At 38.9% G+C, this 25,318-nt stretch overlaps 1 protein-coding gene across 3 annotated transcripts in view; it reads left to right on the top strand.

Annotated features, from left to right (window-relative positions):
- The window catches only part of BEND4 (BEN domain containing 4), a 41,803-nt gene extending 34,352 nt beyond the window's left edge, over window positions 1–7,451 (top strand). For all 3 annotated transcript variants that reach the window (NM_001159547.2, NM_207406.4, XM_017008185.2), the window contains one exon: window positions 569–7,451. In NM_001159547.2, coding sequence (NP_001153019.1) covers window positions 569–578 — 10 coding nt within the window. In that variant the 3' untranslated portion in view covers window positions 579–7,451. The remainder of the gene's footprint in view (window positions 1–568) is intronic.
- Window positions 7,452–25,318: the final 17,867 nt, after the last annotated feature.

Here is a 25,318-nt window from a genome sequence, read left to right as displayed (position 1 = left end):
GCCCATGTATAGAAATGACATTTTCAGAAATAAGTATAGCTAATCACACAACATTCTAAGAACATGGGTACCTTTTCTGAACTAACACTTAGGCACCTCCTCAGTCATTAAGACTGTTATTTTATTGTACTCTATCTTCAAATTAGTAGCTGGTTAAAGAATACCATGCTAATGGTATTTGCTGTGCTTCTGGAGATAGTAACATTCTCAAAATGTGAGCAGGTAACAACTTGGGTTTTGAAATCTGTCTCCTTGACTTACACCAGACATGGTGCATCCCATGCCTTACAAATCAAATTTACCTTTTATTTCAACAGCAAATGTTCCTTAGAGGGATTACCCTCTATATCTGTGTAATTTTTTTTTTTTACTTTTGCACATGAGAAGAAAATTTGTATGGAATAAATTGGGTCTAATGAGTGACATCATCATGGCATTGCGTTGGATTTCCCATAAAGCTTTTCTTATAGAGCTTCTGTTAAAGTTTAAGCAGCCTGCCCTGTCATCTTCTGCAAAAACCAGCTGTTTTTTTCTCTCTCTCTTTTTGATGTTGTATATATTCCTGCAGAATTCATTAGGATGCATTGTACCTCCAACCCCGATTGGTGGATGCCCTCGGAAGAGCAGATAAACAAAGTGTTCAGCGACGCTGTCGGTCACGCCCGACAGGGGCGGGCGGTGGGGACTTTCCTGCACAACGGTGGCTCATTTTATGAAGGGATCGATCACCAGGCTTCTCAGGATGAAGTCTTCAATAAAAGTTCCCAGGATGGATCTGGGGATTAGTGGACAGAATCTTCCTGTTGTAGCAGCTGGTCCTCTCAAGAGTTCCAATTGTGAATGTCCTGTTCCTGTCACCTGAGAGTCCAAAGCCTGTCATTCTGCCATAGTCTACACATTCTCAGCTGCCACAGTACCCAAATAGAAATCCATTTTAGGGTTGTTTGGGAAGTCTGTGGCACCTACAACAGACTTTTGGAATATTATATTATAAAAAGAAAAAACTACATCTGATTTTTAAATGATTACTAGCTAGATCATGAGGGTGAAAAAATAGGTGAGCTCCTAGTTACCTTTCTGAAATCTTCAAACTCTGCTACCTGGGCAGAGATAGTCCCCAAGGTAGGCTGGGGTAGTGTTTCTGCCCATGGGAGAAGGTGGAGACATGGAGTTGTGTTAAGGGACAAGAAGCAAACATTCTCTTAATTCAAATAAGTTGTCTTTATGTTTTCCAAAGACTTGACTTCATATTTCTCGGCAAAGACATAGGATAGATGACATCATATACCATTTTGACATTAATAATGTCTATTACTAAAAGGAAACCAGAGAACAGAGGCAACATCTGCAGACAGTGATTAATTACAGGTCAACTGTTTTTCTGTTGTTTAAAAACCACTGTGTTGATCAAGAAGGCACTATTTGATCTCTGGAGTTTACAAACAGTAGTCATTTTTCATTGTTAGTCAAGAAACATCCAAAGATCCAAAACCATTTTCAAATGCTCAGTTTTGTAGGTTAATAAATCCGCAGTTTCCATAGCCTTAAATCAGGCTTTGTTGACACAATGCCAAAGTGATGGGTAGAACAATGAAAATTTAAAGCAATTAGTTGTTTGGTGCACTGAAGACCAAACAAGTGGTGTGACTGATGGTATTCGCTGAATTGACTAGATGTTCTGGCATTGTATACACACAGCTTCAAGGCGATTCTGACAACTATGCAATGGGCTTGTCAGTAATTGCTCTGAAATTTGAGGGTCTTTCTCTGCTGAGCTGATCTTTAGAATTTGTATGAAACTTGTTTCCCATTGTCCTTGATGAAAACATTTCATCCCCTCCGTGCCTCCTTTACCCCAATGTACCCCTTAGCTATGGCTAAGTCAGCACTGTGCCGCTATCCCCTGGTTAATTTGTTGAGTTCCATATGTGAAATTAGTGGTATCTTTGGAAACTTTCCATATTGGCAAATGCTATAGAGGTGCTAGAGTCATCATTTCTGAGGGCTTCCTGTTTGGACTCAGGAGAGGCTTTCTTTACCAAACTAGTCCAGATTACTACATTCTTTGTAGAGCAAAGGGCTAAATGGACAGCGTTTATTGAAGGCTACTAATGTCATCTACAGACATGACCAAGGGTTTTTGAAAATTGGTTGGAGATTCAGGTTAATGAGCATCCATTGATAAAGGGTTTTTGGGCTATTTTTGTCAACATAAACTCATAAATTGTCCTTTAGATTTAATATTTAGTTTGTATTCACTATATACAAAGTCCTAGAAACAGGTCTTTCTGTAGCTTTTGTTTATTAGCTTTTTTGTATTACTAGAATTCATCCATTGAAAAGTTTAATGTTTATGGAGGTGGTCATCTGTCAGATCTGCTCAATGATGTAGTGGGCACTAATATTTCAATCCTGTTTTGAGAAAATTAACTAAAATTTGTCATATCATTCAATGGAATAGGGAGAACCAATATTCAATTCTATTTGGGGCAAATTAGCTAAAATTTGGAAGTAAAAGAAATGATATGGGCAAATGCCATGTTCTTACGGCAGCCATGAGACCAGTCTCTTTGGCTCTCCAAGGAAGAAAGATACCTCTTAAAGCATTTTTTAGAGGTCCGAGAAGTCAGTGTCTGTCTTATAAGATTCTTTGACAACATGACATCTTCGCTAGAAGAAAAACACCACCATAGCCTCATCTGTTTTTCCATCTTACCTTAATTTTTCATTGGCCTTAAGTTGTCCTTACTGCTGAATACATCGTTCTGTTTTTCTAAAGCAACAATATTTGATCACTGCTTTTAAGAAAAACAGACTAGCCCTTCTTGTTTTTCTGGAAGTTTGAGAGTCCTGAATATTTCTTCATATCCAAATATCATCTTGGAGCCCTATCGTGCTGGTCTTCGCTGAGGCTGATGAGAGCACTTTCTGCACCCCTGCTCCATGGCCGTACATGACAACGCACCTGCACCACTGCTGCAAGGGCGGGGGGCAGCAGCCTGTGTTTTGGCTGTCACTGTTACCTCCTGAGAAGGCTGCTGTCCCAGGTTTGCACACCACTTTTGTTCCAAAGTTACACATGGTCTCTTCCTCCCTCGCACCCATTCCAGGTTAATCATTTCTCTATCAGCTGTTTCTCCATCCACAGATTCTGAATGTTGAGACTAATTGTTGGGCATCTCTTTTGCACAAGGCTGACAGACTCCATACTCAGCATCGCACAGCCAGTTCTAACTCCTCTGCTGGGTCTCGGACCTACAGCTTTTGCCTGAGTGAAATGTTCCTACGACTTTTGCTCCTGAGTGAGATATTCCATTGTACTTCTACTGTTTGTGTATCTGCTGGGTTCCTTTAGCCAAGCCTAGCGTCTGACGCAGGCACTAGCCGCCACTGAGGCCGTGATACAGCATCACTGTGGACACTGCTGGCTCCTCTCCTTGGGACATATCCACACTGCCCCTTGAGCTTCACCTTTAAGGCTGGTATGTACGTAAGTTCACGGTGGTCGTCTGCATGGTCTCCTCTTGTTTAAATCAGGACCAACAAAGGATGTTCATTTGTATTTTGGCAAGGCCCATTGGGCCTCTGTGTAGCCAGGTTAAAAGCTCACTCACTAGGATCGGATGCTGTCATTGCTCTGTGAGCCTTTCAGTTGAAATCCTTGGAGACTTGAAGGTGTTGCTTATTATTTTGATTTGATTTTCTGCATCTTTATCTGGCAAATGGACAGATTGCTCTCACAAGAAACTTAGTCATGTCAGCTTTTAGAGTCCTTCTTGAGTCATGTTAGCATTGGTAGTGTAAAATAGATTGAGTTAAAACAGCTCAGGATGCAGCTGTGCCCCCACTTAATTGGTGAGAGGAGGAGGTCACGGGGCTGGCTTGACAACAAAGACTAAATGTGGCTTTTTTGTCGGTGACTAGGTGTGGTCCATAAGCAGAAGAGCCATACCTACAAAAAGTGACAACTGTCCTGTGTTTTCCAAATTAAAATCTTGTTACAAAGATCATGCCGGCTTTTCGCAGTGAGTTGAAGCCCCAAGCTCAGTTCCAGCCAGGCTCAGGATGACCCTCAAATGATATGTATTGGATAGTGTAGGTCAGGAGCCTGTGGAGGGGACCAGTATTTTGCAAGCAGTTACTAAAGTCACATTTCTCACTGACTCTTGACGGTGCATTGTTCAAAATCTCATGGCTTAACCTTAGTGTTAAATGCTTTCAAGAAAAACTGTAACCATTTCAATTTTACAAGTACTTTCTCATTTTACTTGAACATTTTACAAGTACTTTCTGTATTTACTTGTAAATATTTCCTCTAGCCCTTGAACCCGCGCATCACTTTTTTGGTTTTCCTCATTCCACCACAGCATTTAGGTGACCGTTACCATTTATGTTTCATTAAGCTTCACTAGGAATGTAAGGATAATATTAGAGCATTTGCAGAAAATTGTTATCTCCTTTTGTAGGGGATTCGAGACATATTTGTAGCTACTTCACGGCTGTAGAGTTAGTGGGTGATCGGGTATTCTGCATTGTTCCTTATCCCTTTGTCAGTGACAGACACATTGACATAAGAGATTCCTACAGGATTATAAGGAGAGATAAATTATTAACCATTTTTTTACTTGATCCAACTACTCCATGTCCCATCAACTAGTGGTAACTGATGTTGATAGGATTTTTTTTAAGTCCAGTAACTATTCTTGCAGTATCAGATGTTTACCCCAAATTAGGCAATAACCCAGACTTCGAATCTGTAGGTTTATGATTCCTACATTCCCCTGCCGCTCTCAATGGCTTGTTGCCTCCCTTCTGTTGCTCTCAGAAAACAGATGGAGATCAGGTAAAGATGAAACGTGCACTATATGTTCAGAAAAGCAAACATCCATTGTCCTCATTTAGATTCCATCCTTCAATTTATGCTCTAGAACCTAAACCTAATACCCATTGACTACCTCCTGAGTTTCTTAGGTTTCAATTATTTTTTTGAAATGTCATCCATGGATAATAGCTTCAATTTTAGGAAAGATTTAAATGTATAACTTTCCTCATTCAGTGCTGTGTCATTTCACAGTACAGATCTGCGTTAATTTTTGACAGCTCATATATACAGATTTTTAGAAATGTAATAGAAAATGATTTTGCACATATGGTGCAAGTCTTGCTGGTGTATGTTTAATGTGGCAACACGTGCCAGAACTGTTTGGCAAAACATGTCAAATGGAGTGCTTGAGTCAGAACTCTAATGTAAATGTGTCTAAACAGCAGTATGTATCATTATGATGTATTTTTGTAAACATAGTGATGGCTGCTTTCAGTCATGTAAGTGCTGGATAAAAATAACCACTTCAGTTGGAGTAATGTAGGAAAACGTCACCCAGCAGATGGGTAGTCCTCTGCAAAGTTACACTGTCAGCCAGTGGCACTGGTTCTTTTATTTATGTTGGGTTTTTGTTTTTTTTTTAGAGGAGAGTGAAGAATTGACATCAGACAACATGGAGTGCAAAAATAATAACCCATCAATATTTGCCTTCTAAATGTAAAATGTAAAAGTTTAACTGATCTGTGTACACATTAGAGACCACTTTCACACGCCACAATATGTTCAGTTGCAGGTTAACACTGAGAGGTTGAGACTTCCCTCATCTGATGACCAGCTTGGTTAATTTGACTTCTGAAGGCACTAAATTACCAAGTATTTGCAGTAATGGGGACCGGATTAATTTTCCTCACAATTCTCTATAGCTGTCTGATATAAGGGCTGTGTTTTTATTGAATCACAGATCCTCAAATTACAGTGAAAGCATGTCTTGCTAGTAAGACTCATTTGAAAACCTCTTTATTCTTGGAATAATTGGGCCAGTACAAGTGGCCAGATGTATCCTGGCCACATTGGAAAACTATTTGGGCCCGTTCAGAACCACTTAACTGCAACAACAGTAGTAACTATAGTTAATATCTATCTATTGAGTTATTGTGTGACAGTTACTTGGATAAGTACTTTAATGCATTCTCATTTTAATCCTCACAGCTACCCTATGAGGCTGTTACTGTTCTTATCCCCATTGTATTGATAAGGAAACTGCCCAGGGTACTCAGCTAAGAAGAGGATTGCTTTGGGCATAGGAAGCAGAATGACGAGTTCAGTCTTCCTCAGTAGTTGGAGCACAGTTCTCAAAGCCCATCAACACTTTGGAATGGATTTGTTGTTTTATTTATGCCATCAAGGGAGAGTTGATATTTGTGTATTGCTAAAAACTACTAAAGTATGTCGATGCTTAGGTAGGAACATACAAACCATATATCCTCTGGGATCTGCCCAGGTTTCTGTATAAGGCTTGACCTACGTAAGATCCTATGATGAAGACCAGAAAACTTTTTTTAAAAGTAGGTAAATTAAAATTAAAATCACGAGTTTGTTCACATTTGTCCCATAGGTTCCTAGTGCAAAAATGCAGGGAGATAAAAGCAAACATTTGAACTCAGTGAAGTGAGAGTCTTTGGGAACTCCTAGATGTTAGAAATAGCACCGGGGCATCAGGTAGCCAACGTTCAATTCACTTTTCACGTTTGTGTCTTTGTAGCTTTAGAGCTGATGAGTCTGATTGGTTTGGAAGAGAGAGTTTTAATTTATGATGTCACTGTGAGAACTGTTGTGAAAATTTTGTAAGAAAATACAGTAATCTGTTGATTTTTTCCTGTAGTTTTGGCTTTCACATCCCTTTGGCTGTGTTTAAGTTCAAGAGCATGCCAAGGCCATGAGGGTCCTGGCTTGCACTTCTTGGGAACAGGGCATGCTAGAGGTGGGTCATGAAGCTTTCAAGGTCACTGTTCCAGCCCGACCCTGCGCAATTTAGGCATTGCCTTTATGTCTCTCCTCTCTGGAACTTCATGTAGCAGCCTAACACCGGGGCCGAGTTGCCTTTACTCTATTTTCTATGATGAATACTTGTGGAGAAACTGTGACAAATCCATTGATCCTGATATTTTTATTGTTGGAGTCTTGTTGATTCTCTATGAATAATTTCTATTTGATTGTACTGTGTAGAGTTAATACCCACTAGGGATATGTTAATAAAGCTACAAATGCATAGTGTAATATAGAATAGCAAGATTTTTTTGTGAACAATTTATATAGAAGAGTAAGTTGTTTTTTAAGTGTTAGGCTCATTTCTTTTAGAAACTTAAAATGTTATAAAAGTTTTTTAAACATTCAATATTTTTAATTATAAGAGACATTTGTTACTAGAGCCAATTATTTCAGGTGTTCTAATTGGAGTGTTGATTTTATTACCTCATATACCTCTAGAATGCCACGTGTTCTGTTGGGGATAAAATTGCACAATAAATGTCAAGTCTCTGTTAAGTGTTTTAACTTGGTTTTTGCATCTTTCTAATTCATTGTAAATACTTTTCTGTTTCTTTGAATACATAACTTTTCTCTCCCTGAAGCTAAGAGTTTTGCTTGTCTCTGAACATCAGGAAAATGTTACATGCTTAATATCCAAATACAAGATGCTCAGTTTTGTCAGGAAAGTGACCAGAAATCATCCAGAAATTCATTTGATCTAATGAATGAAAGGGACGGCCAGTGACAAGCTCAGAGTGATATGTAGTCCAAGAGGATTTTCATACGGTATTTTACACATTCACACGTAAAGCACACATGCTTGCTATTCGTGGTACCATTCCATCAGGAAGAAGAAAAAAACCTATAGCTGCTACCCATGACTTTAAAAAATAAACAGATACTGATTATTTATGGTTTTTGAGCAGCGTTCTGCGTACAAAGGCAGAATAGCTGTGGCTAAATAAGGGGACATGGTTGTGGCTTCCCACTTCTAGTTATTACATAAAATGTAAATCTGACATAATCATTATCAAACAGCATAATTGAGTAACTGTTAAGTCAGACTAAGTAAAAGCTAAGATGACACAGTCTTTCATTTTAGGGAAAACATAAAGGTATTTTATTTTTGCCCTAGAAGATGCAAACTTTTTTAAGAGTTCTTGTTTTTGTTTTTTGTTTTGAGACAGGGTTTCACTCTGTTGCCAGTGGCTCAATCATGGCTCACTGCATCCTTGACCTTCCTGGGCTCAAGTGATCCTCCCACCTCAGCTTCCCGAGTAGTTGGGACCACAGGTGCACACCACCACACCCAGCTAATTTTTGTATTTTTTGTAGAGACGGGGTTTCACCATGTTGCCTGAGCTGGTCTTGAACTCCTGGGTTCAAGCAGTCCTGCCGCCTCAGCATCCCAAAGTGTTGGGATTACAGGCATGAGCCACCATGCCCAGTGTAGACAGTGATTTTGGATGGAAAAGGAATACTTTAGTCCAAATAATTTTTGTTAGAATCGGAATATCAGTTAAAAAGAAATTAAAGTTTTTCTGAAGCATTAAAAGAGGATTATTAATATGAGCTGTTGGATATTTTGTAGCAAAGCACACATAGGGTAAAGCTACCAATTAAAAAGTGTTAGAAACAGGCTGGGTGGGGTGGCTGACACATGTAATTCCAGCACTTTGGGAGGCCAAGGCGGGTGGATCACTTGAGGCCAGGAGTTTGAGACCAGCCTGGGCAACATGGCAAAACTCCATCTCCACTAAAAATATTAATATAAAAATTAGCTGGGCAAGGTGATGCATGCCTGTAGTCCCAGATACTCTGGAGGCTGAGGTGGGAGGAGCACTTGAGCCTGGGCAGTGGAGGTTGCAGTGAGCCGCAATGGTACGACTGCACTCCAGCCTGGAGGACAGAATGAGACCCTCTTTCAGAAAAAAAAAAAAAAAAAAAAAAAGTATTGGAAACAAGTTCAGTTAGGCTGCAGAACACAAAATCAATATGCAAAAATCGCTTGTACCTTTATACACTAGTGGTACACAATCTGAATGATTAAGAAAACAATTCCATTTACAATTGCATCAGAAAGAATAAAATAGGAATAAATTTAACAAAATAAGTGCCAAACTTGTATACTGAAAAACTACAAAATATTATTGGAAAAAATTTTAAACAACCCAAATAATGGAAAGACATCCCATGATAGTGGAGTGGAAGACTTAATATTGTTAAGATGGCAATATTCCCCGAATTGATTTACAGATTCAATGCAATTTTTATCAGAATCTCAGCTGGCTTCTTTGCAGAAATTGACAAGATGATCCTAAAATTTATATGGAAATACAAGGAACTCAGATAGCCAACAGAAATAAACTCTTACATTTATGATCAATTGACATTTATCAAGAGTGCCAGGACAATTCAATGGGAAAGAATAGTCTTCAACAAATGGTACTGGGACAACAAGATATTCATATCCTGAAGAATGAAGTTGGATTCCTACCTCAACCTCAAAAAGTAACTCAAAATTGATCATTGTTCTAAGAGCTAAAACTATAAAACCGTTAGACACAGGAGTAAGTCTTCATCTTGGCTCAGGCAAGATTTCTTCAATATGACACCAAACGCTTTAGTGACAAAAGAAAAACATAGATCAATTGGATTTCAACAAAATGAAAAACTTGTATGCTTCAAAGAACACCATGAAAAATGAAAAAGACAACCCACAGAATGGAAGAAAATACTTACAGATTATATACCTGATAAGAGACTGATGCCAGAGTATATAGAACTTACGACTCAACAATAAGAACAAAAAGCCCCATTAGAAACAGGCAAAAGATCTGAGCGTGTATGCCCCAAGGAAGATATGCAAATGGCCAATACGCACAAGAAAAGATGCTCAACATTATTAATCACTAGGGTTATGTAAATCAAATTGCAATGAGATGCCACTTCACTAGGATGGCTAAAATGAAAAAGACGGTAACCAATGTTGAGGATGTGGAGAGAGTTGAAACCCTCAAACATTGCTGGTAGGAATGTAAAGTGGCACAGTCACTTTGGAAAACGCATTGGCAGTTCCTTAACAAGTTAATCATAGAGTTATTATAGGATCCAGCAATGCTTCTCATGGGTACATACTCAAAAGAAATAAAAATACGTCTACACAAAAAGTTGTACTCAAATGCTTATAGGAATATTATTTATAATAGTCAAAAAGTGGAAATAACCCAAATGTCCATCAATTGAATGAATAAACAAAATGCATGTCCAAACAATGGAATATTATTCAGCCATTAAAAAGGAATGAAGTATTAATACGTATTACAACATGAATGAACCTTCAAAATTTATGGTAAGTAAAAGAAGCCAGACAAAAAGCCATGCATTGTATGATTCCATTTATATAAAGTCCAGAAGAGTCAAAATACTATGTAGGCAGTTTTAGAGAGTGCTGCTCAGTGCATGGTTTACATAATGAAGGAACCAAATATAGGATGATATAATCACTTCTAAATTTATTATACATTCATAAAATATATTTATTAAGAGCCTGATGTGCCTGGCATTGTTACCAGGCGCCATGGCCTAAGAAGCAAAGTAATACAGCCAATGGCTTGGCAACTATTTGAAGAAAAATGACAAAAGAGCTGTTAATTACGAGAAAATCCCGAGCTTTACTGGGCAACTTGTTCCCGCATATAAACCTGTATTCAGAAAGGTGAATCGGGTTGAGTGTGGTGACTCATGCCTATAATCCCAGTGAGGTTGAGCTAGGAGGATTGCTTGAGGCCAGGAGTTTGAGATTATCCTGGACAACACAGTGAGACTCAATCTCTTAAAAAAATTTTTTTTAAGCAGAATCAGATATAAAATGAGAAAAATACGTGCCAGTGAATCAGTGTCTCTATTAGATGAAGCCGTCTGTTAGATGTGGCCATCTCTTGGTTCTGATTCAGCTCTGTAGAGATACAGTCTCAGTGCCTGTAATCATTGGTCCTAATGTTTAAGAAACATGCCTGCATTTTATCTGTAAATTAAAAAAGATACAAAATTGATGTGAAAGAAGAGAAATACACTTGCAGCCTTAAATAAAAAGCTGCAGTAGAATAAAATACATCTAAAGTAGAATATCTTAGTGCTTGTACTTACCAGTTGTATATTTTTCACAAATTGGGTTAAACCATGGTTTTGAAATACAGCTTTAAGATTAAACATTTATTGTCATTTCACAAACATTTTATAGACCAAATTGATGCAAATTTTTTAAACCTTTTTTTAGTATTAAAATTAAAAATGCATTGAGGCATGAGAATGCTTAAGAACATTCTCGTTTAAGAATGCTTAACATAATAAAAATGAAATACAGGCTGGGCGCAGTGGCTCACGCCTATAATCCCAGCACTTTGTGAGGCTGAGGTGGACAGATCAGTTGAGACTAGGAGTTCAAAACCAGCCTGGTCAACATAGCGAGGCCCCTGTCTCTACAAAAAAAAGGAAAAAAAAAAAAAAGCCAGACATGGTGGCAGACACCTGTAGACCCATTTACTCTGGAGGCTGAAGTGGGAGGATCACTTGAGCCCAGGAGTTTGAGGTTGCAGTAGCGCATGATCAGGGCACTGCACTTCAGCCTGGGCAATAGAGAGAGACTGCCTCAAAAAAAAAAAAGGAAGAGGAAGAAAGGGAAGAAATATAGTCATGTACCACGTGGTGACATTTTATTCAATAACAGACTGTATGGTATGTATGACAGTGGTCCCATAAGATTCTGATACTGTATTTTTACTGTACTTTTTCTTTGTTGAGATACATAAATACCACTGTGTTACAGTTCCCTACACTGTTCAGCACAGTCACAGGTGGTACGGCAGAGATGTCCAATCCTTTGGCTTCTTTGAGCCACGTCGGAAGAAGAATTGTCTTGGGCCACACATAAAATACACTAATGAGGTTGGGCGCGGTGGCTTACGCTTGTAATCCCAGCACCTTGGGAGGCTGAGGCGGGCAGATCACGAGGTCAGGAGATCGAGACCACGGTGAAACCCCGTCTCTACTAAAAATACAAAAAAATTAGCCGGGCGTGGTGGTGGGTGCCTGTAGTCCCAGCTACTCGGAGAGGCTGAGGCAGGAGAACGGCATGAGCCCGGGAGGCGGAGGTTGCCGTGAGCCGAGATCGTACTACTGCACTCCAGCCTGGGTGACAGACTACGTCTCAAAAAACAAAAAAAAAAAAAAGAAAAGAAAAAAATACACTAATGATAGCTGATGAGCTAAAAAAAAAAAAAATCTCATAGTGTTTTAAGAAAGTTTACAAATTTGTGTTGGGCCGCATTCAAAGCCGTCATTCAAAGCCCCATGGGCCACGGGGGAGAAGCTTGCTGTACAGATTTGCAGCCTAGGAGCAACACTCTGTACATAGAGTCTGGGTATGCAGTAGGCGACACCATCCAGGTTTGCGTCAGTGCTCCCTGTGATATTTGTACTACAGAATCACCTAATGACACAGTTCTCAGAACCTGTCCTCATCATTGAGCAACGCACGACTGATGAAGAGTAGGCTGTGTGATTGAATAGAAGCAGGGGGACCAGCCAATGTAACTGGAGATACAGGCGTTTTTTTAAACCCAGGGTTTGCTTCCAGATAAGGGCTTAAATAGTGACTTTTCACGCTCCACCAGATGCTGGGGAGAAACGCAGGCCCTGCCAAGAGATGAGGAAAGGGGTATAAACGTGTATTCTAGTCTTGTTTTATTTATTTATTTTTTTTGGTACCAGTGACAATGATTCTTTCTCCTTCCTAGCAACACAGAAGCATTTTCAATTCAATATAAAAATATAATAATGCTGTTTGATTGTGGCTTAAGTTGTGTTTTCTATTAACATTTTGTGCTAAATAATTACCCATTCACTCTGTGGTGTATATTTGGGTAGACTTTGTGTGTTTCTGTGTTTTGAGACAGGGTCTTGCTCTATTGCCCAGGCTGGAGTGCAGTGGTATGATCATAGCTCACTGCAGCCTCGAACTCCTGGGCTTAAGTGATCTTCTCACCTCAGCCCCGAAGAGCTGGGACTATAGGTGTGTGCCACCATGCCTGGTTAATTTTTTTCCTTTTGATAGAGACAAGGTCTCACTATGTTACCCAGGGTGGTTTCAACCTCCTGTCCTCAAGTGATCTTCCTGCCCTGGCCTCCTGAAGTACTGGGATTACAGGTATGAGCCACTACACCCAGTGGATGGACTTTTTTTTTGCAGAAGTATTTCTATGATAGCTTTAAAATAGGTAAAGATTGGGGCTTTTCCTAGTCCTTTCACATTTCTCTTTAAGGATACATGATGAGGAAAATCCTCATGAATCTACGGGGAACTACAAACATTTGTTTAATGAAGGATTTTTAATACTGGTGAAAAGTATAAAGGATGCCATTTCTTTGAAGTATCAGTAATTGAGAAGTTATCACTGTTTATCAAGTTTGATTATGATCTGCCTTGGTGTGGTTTTATCTAAATTTCTTCTACTGGGGTTTGTTGAACTCTTGGATCTGTGAGTTTATATTTTTCATCATATTTGGAAAATTTTTCAGTCACTATTTCTTCAAATATAATTTCTGTCTTCCTTCTTCCTCTTCTTTTTCTGGCACTCGAATTACATATTGTGGAAGGCAGAATAATGACTCACCAACGATGTCCACACATGTTAATCCCCAGAATTTGTGAGTATGTTAGATTGCAGGGCAGAAGGGATCTTACAGGAAGATTATCTTGGATCATCTGGGAGGGCCCAAAGTAATCACAAGGGTCTTAAAAAGAGTAGGTTTGAGTGATGCAGTGTGAGGACCCCATGCTGGTTTTGAAGATGGAGGAAGGAAGCCACAAGCCACAGAATACTGGAGTCTCTAAAAGCTGGAGAAGACAAGGAAATTGGTTCTTTCTTAGACCCTCCTGCAATAAATGCAGCCCTGTGGACAGCAGTGAGGCCCTAATTGGACTTCTGACCTACAGAAGTATAAAATAAATTTGTGTTATTTTAAGGGGCTAAGTTTGTTGTAATTTTTTACAGTAGCCGTAGCAAACTAGTACACACACATATTAGACTGATTGATATTTTCCCATAGATCACATGGACTCTGTTTATTTCTTTTCTGTCTTTGCTTTATTTTGGATAGGGTGTATTGCTTCAAGTTCACTGATCTTGTCTTTTGCTGTGCCTAATCTGCTGTTCTATCCAGTGTATGACAGAGTGTCACATCTGTCCTTATTATGTTTATATCTTCATTTACATTCTTGAGCAAATTTATATTTATATGGCTTTGTTAAGGTCATCATGTATTCTATCAGAAAAAAGTTTTCTCATCTTCAATAGTTGTTTCGTTGGTGTTATAAATTATGTCTCTTCATAAGATTAGCAAGAGCTCTCTGTTCCTCAAATTTTAACCTGCTTATAAATCACCTGCAAATCTTGTTAAACACAGATTTTCTGATTCAATAGGTATGGAGTGGAGTCTGAGATCCTATGTTTCTGACAAACTCACTGAATGTTAAGAACTAAGATTATTTTCAAATGTGTGGATATCCAGCCTGCTGGCTCAAGAAAAGCTCATCTTTTACAAGAGATGCATCTCTAATGATGTAGGGATAGTTATTGTGGTTGTAAAACGGAAACAACTTTTTAAAGAAAGATCACTATGAATTATCTTGTAAAGGAATACATTCTTACCTACTTTATTTCTTGGGTACATCTGTAGTTGTAGCCAAAGTATGATCATAAAATAACATCAGTTGTATTTTTAACAAACATTGAAGAGCAACTAAGTATTCCTTTAAAAATAATCTCTTATGAGGCTATCATCTTTTTCTAACAATGTCATCATCTTTAGGATATGTTTGAAATACTGCTTGGGAGTTACCTGAGGTATGTGGGACCAATTTTTAAAATAGGCTTGATGGAATAATGGATATCTTTATCTTTTGAAGATAAATTTGATTTTTTGGAAGCAGTCAAAACTAGTTGGATTGACAACTGATGAATATGGTAGATTGATTAACTGGCTATTATTATTTTGGGTTAAAAATAAGGAAAACTATAATAAAATTTATTTTGTGTTTGTGACTCACCAGTGCATTTTGTAGGAGAAGCCCTAACCATTCTATGAACATTTTTAAGATAATGTTCTTACTTCATGTTCTTCAGAATATACTATAAAGCTACTATAGTAGCCAAAACAGCACGGTACTTGCATAAAAACAGTACAGAAATAAATCCACATATCTACAGCCAACTGATTTTCAACAAAGGTGCCAAGAACACACCTTGGGGAAAGGATAGTCTCTTCAATAAATGGTGCTGGGAAAATTAGATACCCACATGCAGAAGGATGAAACTGGACCCCTATCTTTCACCATATAACATAGTCCCCCCCTTATCCCAGTTTTCCTTTCTTTCTTTCTTTTTTTTTTTTTTTTTTTTTTTTTTTTTTGAGACAGAGTCTCACCCTGTCGCCCAGGCTGGAGTACAGTGGTGTGATCATGGCTCACTGCAACCTCCACCTCTCGGGTTCAAGCAATTATCTGCCTCAGCCTCCTGAGTAGCTGGGATTACAGGCACCACCACCATGCCCAGCTAATTTTTGTATTTTTAGTAGAGACGGGGTTTTACCATGTTGGCCAGGCTGGTCTTGAACTCCTGACCTCATGATCCACTCGCCTTGGCCTTCCAAAGTGCTGGGACTACAGGCAGGAGCCACCACGCCCAGCCTCCAGTTTTCTTTTCTGAGGTTTCAGTTACTCACGGTTAACCACAGTCTGAAAATATTACATGGAAAATTTCAGAAATAAGTAATTCATAAGTTTTAAATTGCACACCCTTCTTTTTTTTATTATACTTTAAGTTCTGGGATACATGTGCAGAACGTGCAGGTTTGTTACATAAGTACACATGTGCCATGGTGGTTTGCTGCACCCATCAACCTGTCATCTAGGTTTTAAGCCCTGCACGCATTAGGTATTTATCCTAATGCTATCCCTCCCCTTGCCCCCCACCCCCCCGATAGGCCCCGGTGTGTGATGTTCCCCTCCCTGTGTCCATGTGTTCTCATTGTTCAACTCCCACTTATGAGTGAGAACAAGCAGTGTTTGATTTTCTGTTCCTGTGTTAGTTTGCTGAGAATGATGCTTTCCAGCTTCATCCATGTCCCTGCAAAGGACGTGAAATCATTCTTTTTTATGGCTGCATAGTATTCCATGGTATGTGTATGTATATATATATATATGCCACATTTTCTTCATCTAGTCTGTCATTGATGGGCATTTGGGTTGGTTCCAAGTCTTTGCTATTGTAAACTGTGCTGCAATAAACATAGTGTGCATGCATCTTTATAGTAGAATGATTTATAATCCTTTGGGTATATACTCAGTAATGGGATTGCTGGGTGAAATGGTATTTCCGGGTGAAATGGTATTTCCGGTTCTAGATCCTTGAGGAATCGCCACACTGTCTTCCACAATGGTTGAACTAATTTACACTCCCACTAACAATGTAAAAGCATTCCTATTTTTCCACATCCTCTCCAGCATCTTGTTTCCTGACTTTGTAATGATCGCCATTCTAACTGGTGTGAGATGGTATCTCATTGTGGTTTTGATTTAATTGCTCACCCTTCTGAGTAGTATGATGAAATCTCATTCCCTCCTTCAGGAACATGAATCATCCCTTTGTCCAGTGTATCTGTACTGTATATGCTACCTGCCTATTTGTCATCAACATCATCGTGGCTCAGTGATCCAGGATCAGTGAAGCAGATGGTCTTCCTTCTGACCTATCATCGAGGGTCTTGTCCAGTGTATCTGTACTGTATATGCTGCCTGCCTATTTGTCATCAACATCATCGTGGCTCAGTGGTCCAGGATCAGTGAAGCAGATGGTCTTCCTTCTGACCTATCATCGAGGGTCAGTAATAGCCTAATGCTACGGCACAATGCCTACGTCATTTACTGCACTTCATCTCATCATGTAGGCCCTTTATCATTGCACATTGTCTCAAGAAGGGTGAGTACAGCACAGTAAGATATTTTGAAAGAGTCCACATTCACATGACTTTTATTACAGTATATTTTCATAATTGGTTGATTTTATTATAGTTAATCTCTTGCTGTGCCTCATTTATAAATTAAATGTTATTATAGGCATGTACATATAGGAAAAAGCTTAGTATAAATAGGATTTAGTACTATCCATGGTTTAAGCATCCACTGGGAGTTTTGGAATGTATCCCGTATGGAAAAGAGGGGATTACTGTATAAAAACTAACTCGAAATGGATTAAAGACTTAACTGTAAGACCTGAAACTATGAAACTAATAGAAGAAAACAGGAGAAATGTTTCATGACATTGGTCTGGGCAAGGAGTTTTTTTTTTACCTCAAAAGTACAGGCAACAAAAGCAAACTAAAAAGCTTCTGCACGGCAAAGGAAACAATCAACAGAGTGAAGAGACAACCTACAGAATGGAAGAAAACATTTGTAAATGTTTGTGACAAGAGGTTAATATCTAGAATATATAAGGAACCCAAACTGTTGAGTTCAATAGCAAAAAAACCAAATAATCCAATTAAAAATGGGCAAAAAACCTGAATAGACATTTCTTGAAACAAGACATAAAATTGCCAACAAGTATATGAAAAAATACTCAGCATCACTAGTCATCAGGGAACTGCAAGTCAAAATCACAATATCACCTAACTCGAGTAAGAATGGCTATTATCAAAAAGACAAAAAATAACAAGTGTTCGTGAGGATGTGAAGAAGAAAAAACCCTTACACACTGTTGGTGGGAATGTAAATTATTATAGTAATTATGGAAAACAGTTTGGAGGTTTATCAAAAAAATAGAAATATAACTACCACATGACCCAGCAATCCCAACACTAGCTATTTATCCAAAGGAATTGGAATCAGTATGTGAAACAGACATCTGCATGCTCCTGTTTATTGCACCACTATTCACAATAGCTAAGGTAAGGAATCAGCTTAAGTACCCATCATCAGATGAAGAGATAAAATGTGGTGTATATGCACAATAGAGTACTATTTCACCATAACAAAACAGGAAATGCTGTCATTTGCAACAACATGGATGAAACTAGACGACATGATGTTAAGCGTAATAAGCCAGATAGAGAAAGACAAATACCACATGATGTCATTCGTATGTGGAATCTAAAAAACTTGATTTCATAGCAGTAGAGAGTAGAACCTTGGTTATCAGAGGCTGGGGGAGAAGGGTGGGAGGTAGAGGAGAGGAGGAGATGGGGAGAAATTGGCCAACAGATGCAAAGTTACAGTTAGGAGGAATAAGTTCTGGTGTCCTATTGCAAGTAGGGTAACTACAGTTAGCTATGTATGTTTCAAAATCGCTAGAAGAGGATTTTGAATGTTCTCACCACCAAGAAACAATAAATGTTTGAGGTGATGGGTAAGGTAATTACCCTGATTTGATCATTACACAATGTATACATGTATTGAAACATCATATAGTACCCCATGAATGTGTACAATTATGAGTTGATTAAAAATAAAAATTTAAAAAATAGTGAAGCTTATTTTATTAAGGAAAAATTAATTCTGGAATTAAGTGTTTAGGAATGTAAATCTTCAAAAATATTGTAGCTAAGTTTATTTGGATTGGAGATAGGTATCAAGAAATTAAGTAAAGAAAATTGAACTCTAATCTGAAAACACTGCCAAGCCTCGATAGGAGGTCGTGTTGCAACATTGGGCCTGTCTTCTGTACACAGAAAGTCCTCAGAGGAGTGGAGGTAGCTGGAGACCCCTGGAGGAATCTTGCAGGGCTGGGGACGTAAGACAGTCCCATGGAACAAATAAGATGGAAACAGCTGCAACATATATTTTTTCCTTTTAGAGATCCAACCTTATTCCATTTATAATAAACTGAGAAGTTCTATATCAAATATAACTGCCTGTAACATTTTAAATTGCTTCAATCTGAGTTTAACACCCACCTTTCCTTTCATCTCTTAGCAAATAATCTTAAAGCTGTATCTAAAATGCAGTAAGAAAAATTACAATAAAAATGGGTTTTGGAGTTTTTTCAGATTTATTTAATATTTCTACAGAGAATGGATAAATCACAATTTACAATTCCAGCATGAAACAATATCTTGAAGTCACACTTATGAGGAAACAAGTTAAATATACTGAACCCCCAGAGACTCTATACCATTTTGAAATAGGCATGAGACTCATCCATTGTGATTCTTCAGATTTGGCAGAAATGTAGCAAAAGGGAATTTATTTCGTACTGAAGGCTAGAGATAATTTGTTTCAACACCAGGGAAAGGGTCCTCAGGAATGAACGCACTCTGATACTCTTGCTAGAATAAGATGGTATTCACCTAATTAGACATAGTTATCAACTGAAAATCAGTAGCCATCTATTTGTACATGTCCTCTACCTATTACCTAGCACACTCTTTACCCTCCTTTTTCTCTGTGCCTGGCCTTACAAAGGGTACTTCCCCAAGGAGGATTCCCTACCCCGACTGCCTAGGTAGTTACAAGGTAGTACAGTGCCCAGTGACACAGACACTCAAAAAGTATTTGTCATATGAATGCAATAATGGAAGTCTGTTTTTAAATTTTCTTTTTCAGTTTTCCAATTTAATAGGACAATTGTCCTACTCTTCTCTGACAAATAGGTTGTTTTTATGATGCTCCACAGTGAGATTTAATATCATTTCAGATTATATCAACAAAAAGTTAAGCAAACGACCACGTTGAGTTCCAACAGCATATTCCATATTACTAGGGTTGGAAATTTAGAGTCTAGTGGTATTAAACCCAAGTTTTATAATTCAAAGAAACATGCTCATCTTCAGTCTTTTCCCTTTAAAACTTTTGGTTCTTACCTCCTCTTGAAAGTAGGTATTAAAATTAAAATTCTAATTCAAAAATTCTCACATCTTAGTTTTATGACACTCCAATCAATGTCTTCATTTATCCCAAGATTGAAGAATTGCTTGTCCTTTTCTTTTCTTTTCTTTTCTTTTCTTTTCTTTTGACATAGAGTCTCGCCGTGTCGCCCAGGCTGGAGTGCAGTGGTGTGATCTCAGCTCACTGCAATCTCCGCCTCCTGGGTTCAAGTGATTCTCCTGCCTCAGCCTCCCGAGTAGTTGGGATTACAGGTGTCCACCACCATGCCCGGCTAATTTTTGTATTTTTAGTAGAGATGGGGTTTCACCATGTTGGCCAGGCTGGTCTTGAACTCTTCACCACAGGTGATCCACCCACCTCAGCCTCCCAAAGTTCTGGGATTACAGGTGTGTGCCACTGCGCCCAGCCTGAATTGCTTGTCCTTTTAAATTAACTTTTTATTATAAAAGACAAACTCATTGTGGAAAATCTGTAAATGACAGAAAAAGAGAGAAGATAAAAATTATCCACGTATGAAATTGTTAATAGTGTATTTGCTTTCAATCCTTTCTCTATGTACACAACTTTGAAATTATTCTGAATATAGTTATGTATCCTGTTTTTTCACTAGAAAATGAATCTTAAGCACTTTTTAAAATTTAAAAAAGTAATACCTGTTCATAAAAATGTTTTTTATGTCCCACTCCAATCTCAAACCTTAGCAGTAACAACTTGAACTGCAAGATGTATATTCTTTTCTTTTCTTTTTCAGACAGGGTCTTCCTCTGTTGTTCAGGGTGGAGTGCAGTGGCATCATCTTGGCTCACTGCAACCTCCACCTCCTCCCACCTCAAGTGATCCTCCCACCCCAGCCTCCCAAATAGTTGGGACTACAGGTGCGTGCCACCACGCCCGGCTGATTTTTGTATGTCTTTGTCTTAGAGGCCGGGTTTCACCATGTTGGCCAGGCTGGTCTCGAACTCCCGGGCTCAAGCAATCCTCCTGCCTTGGCCTCCCAAAGTTCTGGGATGACAGGCGTGAGCCACCACGCTCAGCCCAAGATGTATATTTTTACATTTTTCTCTATCTATCATAAGCATTTTACTGTATTAAATATCCTGCCAAAAATGCCTCCAAAGACTGTATTATTAGGCTGTATTTCTAGAAGTGGAATAAATAGGTCAAAGGACATGGCTATTTTCCAGACTCTTTTTTTTTTTTTTTTTTTTTTTGAGACAAAGCGTTGCTATATTGACCAGGCTGGTAACTTCTGGCCGCAAGCAAACAATCCACCCACCACCTCCTCCCAAAGTGCTAGACCTGCAGGCATGGGTCACCATGCCCAGACATATTTTTCCAGACTCATTTAACATCTTCGGCTATAGTACCCCCCACATAGCTAGGCCTACTTCACACTCCCATCGGCAGCATATTGGAATGCCTATCTCACAAACCTGGAGATGTCAAGTAGGCAACTGGACATTTGAGTCTGGGATTCAAGGTAGAGAATCAAGGTTTCAATAAATGTTTTTTTTTTTTTGGAAAGCCATGGGACTGAATCACTCAGTGAATGAATATAGACAAAGAAAAGACATAGTCCTGGGATATGCCAATGTTTGGAGGTAATGGAAATGAGGAGAAACCTACAAAAAGAGACTGAAGGCCGGGCATGGTGGCTCACACCTGTAATCTGAGCACTTTGGGAGGCCGAGGCAGATAGATCACTTGAGGCCAGGAGTTCGAGACCAGCCTGGCCAACATGGTGAAACCCCGTCTCTACTAAAAATACAAAAATTAAGTGATGCACACCTGTAGTCCCAGCTACCAGGGAGGCTAAGGTGGAAGAATCGCTTGAACTCGGGAGGTGGAGGTTGCAGTGAGCCAAGATTATGCCACTGCACTGTAGCCAGCCTGGCAACAGAGCGAGACTCTCTCAACAAAAAAAAAAAAAAAAAAAAAAAAAGACTGAAAAGGAGTGGCCACAGAGGTTGGTGGAGAACCCAGAAAGTAGAATTCTGGAAGCCAGATTCACTGTGTCAAATGCTGCTGACAGATCAAGTAAGATGACAACCTAAGATTGACAATTGTATTTAGTGGTATGGAAGTCAAGGACAGGGTTAGTGGAGAGAGTGACAAAAGCCTGATTGGAATGGGTTTCAGAGAAAAGGAAAGAGAGGCAGCAAATATAGACAACTCCTTTGAGTTTTGCTGTGAAGGGAAGTAAAGAAATAAGAAACTAAGTGAAGGATTTTTTTGTTTTTACGCATTTTGTGTGTGGGGGCGTGGTTGTGATGTTTTAGTCTGTTTTTCTAAGATGGGAGAAATAACAGCATGTTTACAAAAATTTAGGAATTCTGTAAATATCTTATACATTATGAAACTTAGGAAGCTTAAGGAAACCTGGAAAAGCAAACACAAATTAATTATGGGCATTTCCCAGGATACCTCCCATTAAGTGGACTCAAATTAGGGTCCCAGCATCTTCTATACTTGAAATCACTGGCCCATGATGGATAAACAATTGCTTGGTTCTGATCAAGGCAGGCCTTATTGACCTCAGGAAGGACAAGATACCACAGCCATGAGTAATTCTGTCCTGGTTATTGGATGAGGGGATTATCAGGACGGGACATCCCCCACCTTGACCATCAGGAATGATTATCTGGTTGACAACACTGCCATCATCTTCCTTCTTCTAAGAAGGGCCTCACGGGCATCTAGTATATCATAGCTTGTATATAGTAAATATTCAATAATTGACATGGGCTGTCAATCCATATAGAAAATGTCATAAGGAAATTGGATCAGTTTGAGTAATTCCTTGGAACTTCAAGCAGTGATGATATTAGACCATCTATCATCCAATCCCTTAATGCTCTTTTAACCTCAACATGATCTGCCATAGTTCCAGGAGTAATCTAGAAGTCATCTTATAAAATCTCTTTTAAATAGGATTTAACAAAATATAAATAATCATACATTACAGGAGGATTTCTTTAAATTGTGAACTCTTCTAGTGCATCTAAAAATAGATTTAGAAATATTTAATTTATAGATTTAGAAATATTTAATTTACACAATGTCCAGGAACTTATTTTTCTTTCTTTTTTTTTTTTTTTTGAGACGGAGCCTCGCTCTGTCACCCAGGCTGGAGTGCAGTGGCGCAATCTCGGCTCACTGCAACCTCCGCCTGCTGGGTTCAAGCGATTCTCCTGCCTCAGCCTCCTGAGTAGCTGGGACTGCAGGCACGTGCCACCACGCCCGGCTAATTTTTTGTGTTTTTACCAGAGACGGGGTTTCACCGTGTTAGCCAGGATGGTCTCCATCTCCTGACCTCGTGATCCGCCCTCCTTGGCCTCTCAAAGTGCTGGGATTACAGGTGTAAACCACCGCGCCTGGCCCAGGAACTTACTTCTTGTATAAAGTGTGATAAACCCGCAACTCCTTCCTTTCTCACCACCTGGGCCCACCAATCCCATATTTTGTTCTCTGAGACCTTTATGTGATGAATGGTATCATACTTATTTAGCCCTTTGCTGGGCCACAAGATAAACTGACATGAACATTCAGAAACATAATTTATGAACTTGGGTAAGAAATTTTGATGGTTCAAGAACACTTTTGTATGATTCAATTGTTCCCTAATGTTCAGAATGTATATTATGCATTTGAATGAGAGGAAGTCAAATTCAAACTCTTCATTTTGAACATGAGAAATTTATTTGCTGAAAGTAACACTTACCAGTTGGTAGCCTTAAGTTATAGCCCAAGAGCTATTTGTATTGATACATTTCTAAGAGCTAAGCCAGAATTTTATCCTCCTGCCTCCAACAACAGAAACCAGGCACTCTTATGCTGTACACTGTAAAGACACTCTCAAATATTAAAGAGAGACTAGGATTACTTTAATCCACCATATTAGGACTGTCCAAAACAACTTGCTGTGATAATGAAAATGTTCTATATCTGAATTGTACAACACAGTCACTGGCCACATGTGGCTACTGAGCACATGAAAATGTGGCTAATGCAACTGAGGAACTGAATTTATTTTATGTAATTAATTTAAATTTAAATATCCCCATGTCACTAGTGGCTACCATATGGTAAAGCACATTATGTGTTATGTCCTGTTGATGTAGTAATTTTCAGTAAACACAACTCTGGAAAATGGCTGTGTACTTACATTATGAGAAGGTTCATTAATATATATACTATTTTATCATCTTTGTAGAACAGGGGAAATATATATAATAAACATGTATATATGTGAATATATACATCAAATATCTCTATAAGGATATATCACAAGCTTATAACATTAGTTGCCTCTGGGAAAAGAAAATGGATAGCTGTGAGCAAGGTTGAGAGAAAGAATGTTTCCTATAAATCTGTTTGAGCATTCTGAATTTAGAATCATGTGAATGTTTTATCTATTCAAGCACAATTTAAAAATATAGTCAGATTTTCGTATCCATGGGTTCGCATCTCTGATTCAACCAACGTATCGAAAATACTCAATAAATAAAAAATTGTGTCTGTGCTAAACGTGAACAGGCTTTTTTCCTTGTCATTGTCTCCTAAATACAGTATGACAACTACTTACATAACATTTACAATGTGTTAGGTATTATAATAGAGATTATTTAAAGTATACTTGAGGATGTGTGTAGGTTATATACAAATATGCCATTTTATATAGGAAACTTCAACATCCTTGAATTTTGGTATCCCAGGGATATCCCCACAGGGTATTTCCACAGATACCAAGAGATGACTATATATATAAATTTTTTTTTTTGAGACAGATCTTGCTCTGTCGCCCAGGCTGGAGTGCAGTGGCATGATCTTGGCTCACTGCAACCTCCGCCTCCCAGGTTCAAGCAATTCTCCTGCCTCAGTCTCCCAAGTAGCTGGGACTACAGGTGCCCGCCACCATGCTGGGCTAATTTTTGTATTTTCAATAGAGACAGGGTTTCACCATGTTGGCCAGGCTGGTCTTGAACTCCTGACCGTGTGATCCACCCGCCTCAGCCTCCCAAAGTGCTGGGATTACAGGCGTGAGCCACCGTGCCTGGCCGGGATAACTATATCTTTAAAACTTCTGACTAATTCTAATTTTCACACCTCTCCCTGAATTTCTTTCCTACGTGGTTCACATCAATGACTGACATTTGAACAAAATATTGTCTTCTGGATATGTTTATCCAGTGGTAGTAATAGTTAAAAATAAATATCATTTAAAAAATAGGCCGGCTCGGTGGCTCACGCCTGTAATCCCAGCACTTTGGGAGGCCGAGGTGGGCAGATCACAAGGTCAGGAGTTCGTGACCAGCCTGGCCAATAAGGTGAAACCCCATCTCTACCAAAAATACAAAAATTATCTGGTCAAGGTGGCAGGTGCCTGTAGTCTCAGCTACTTGGGGGGCTGAGGCAAGAGAATCGCTTGAACCTGGGAGGCAAAGGTTGCAGTGAGCCAAGATCGCGCCATTGCAATCCAGCCTGGAAGACAGCCAGACTCCATCTCAAAAAAAAAAAAATAAATA

This window comes from Homo sapiens, chromosome 4, assembly GCF_000001405.40.
Source record: "Homo sapiens chromosome 4, GRCh38.p14 Primary Assembly".
Classification (NCBI taxonomy): domain Eukaryota; kingdom Metazoa; phylum Chordata; class Mammalia; order Primates; family Hominidae; genus Homo; species Homo sapiens.
This window is presented reverse-complemented; position numbering and strand designations above follow the sequence as displayed.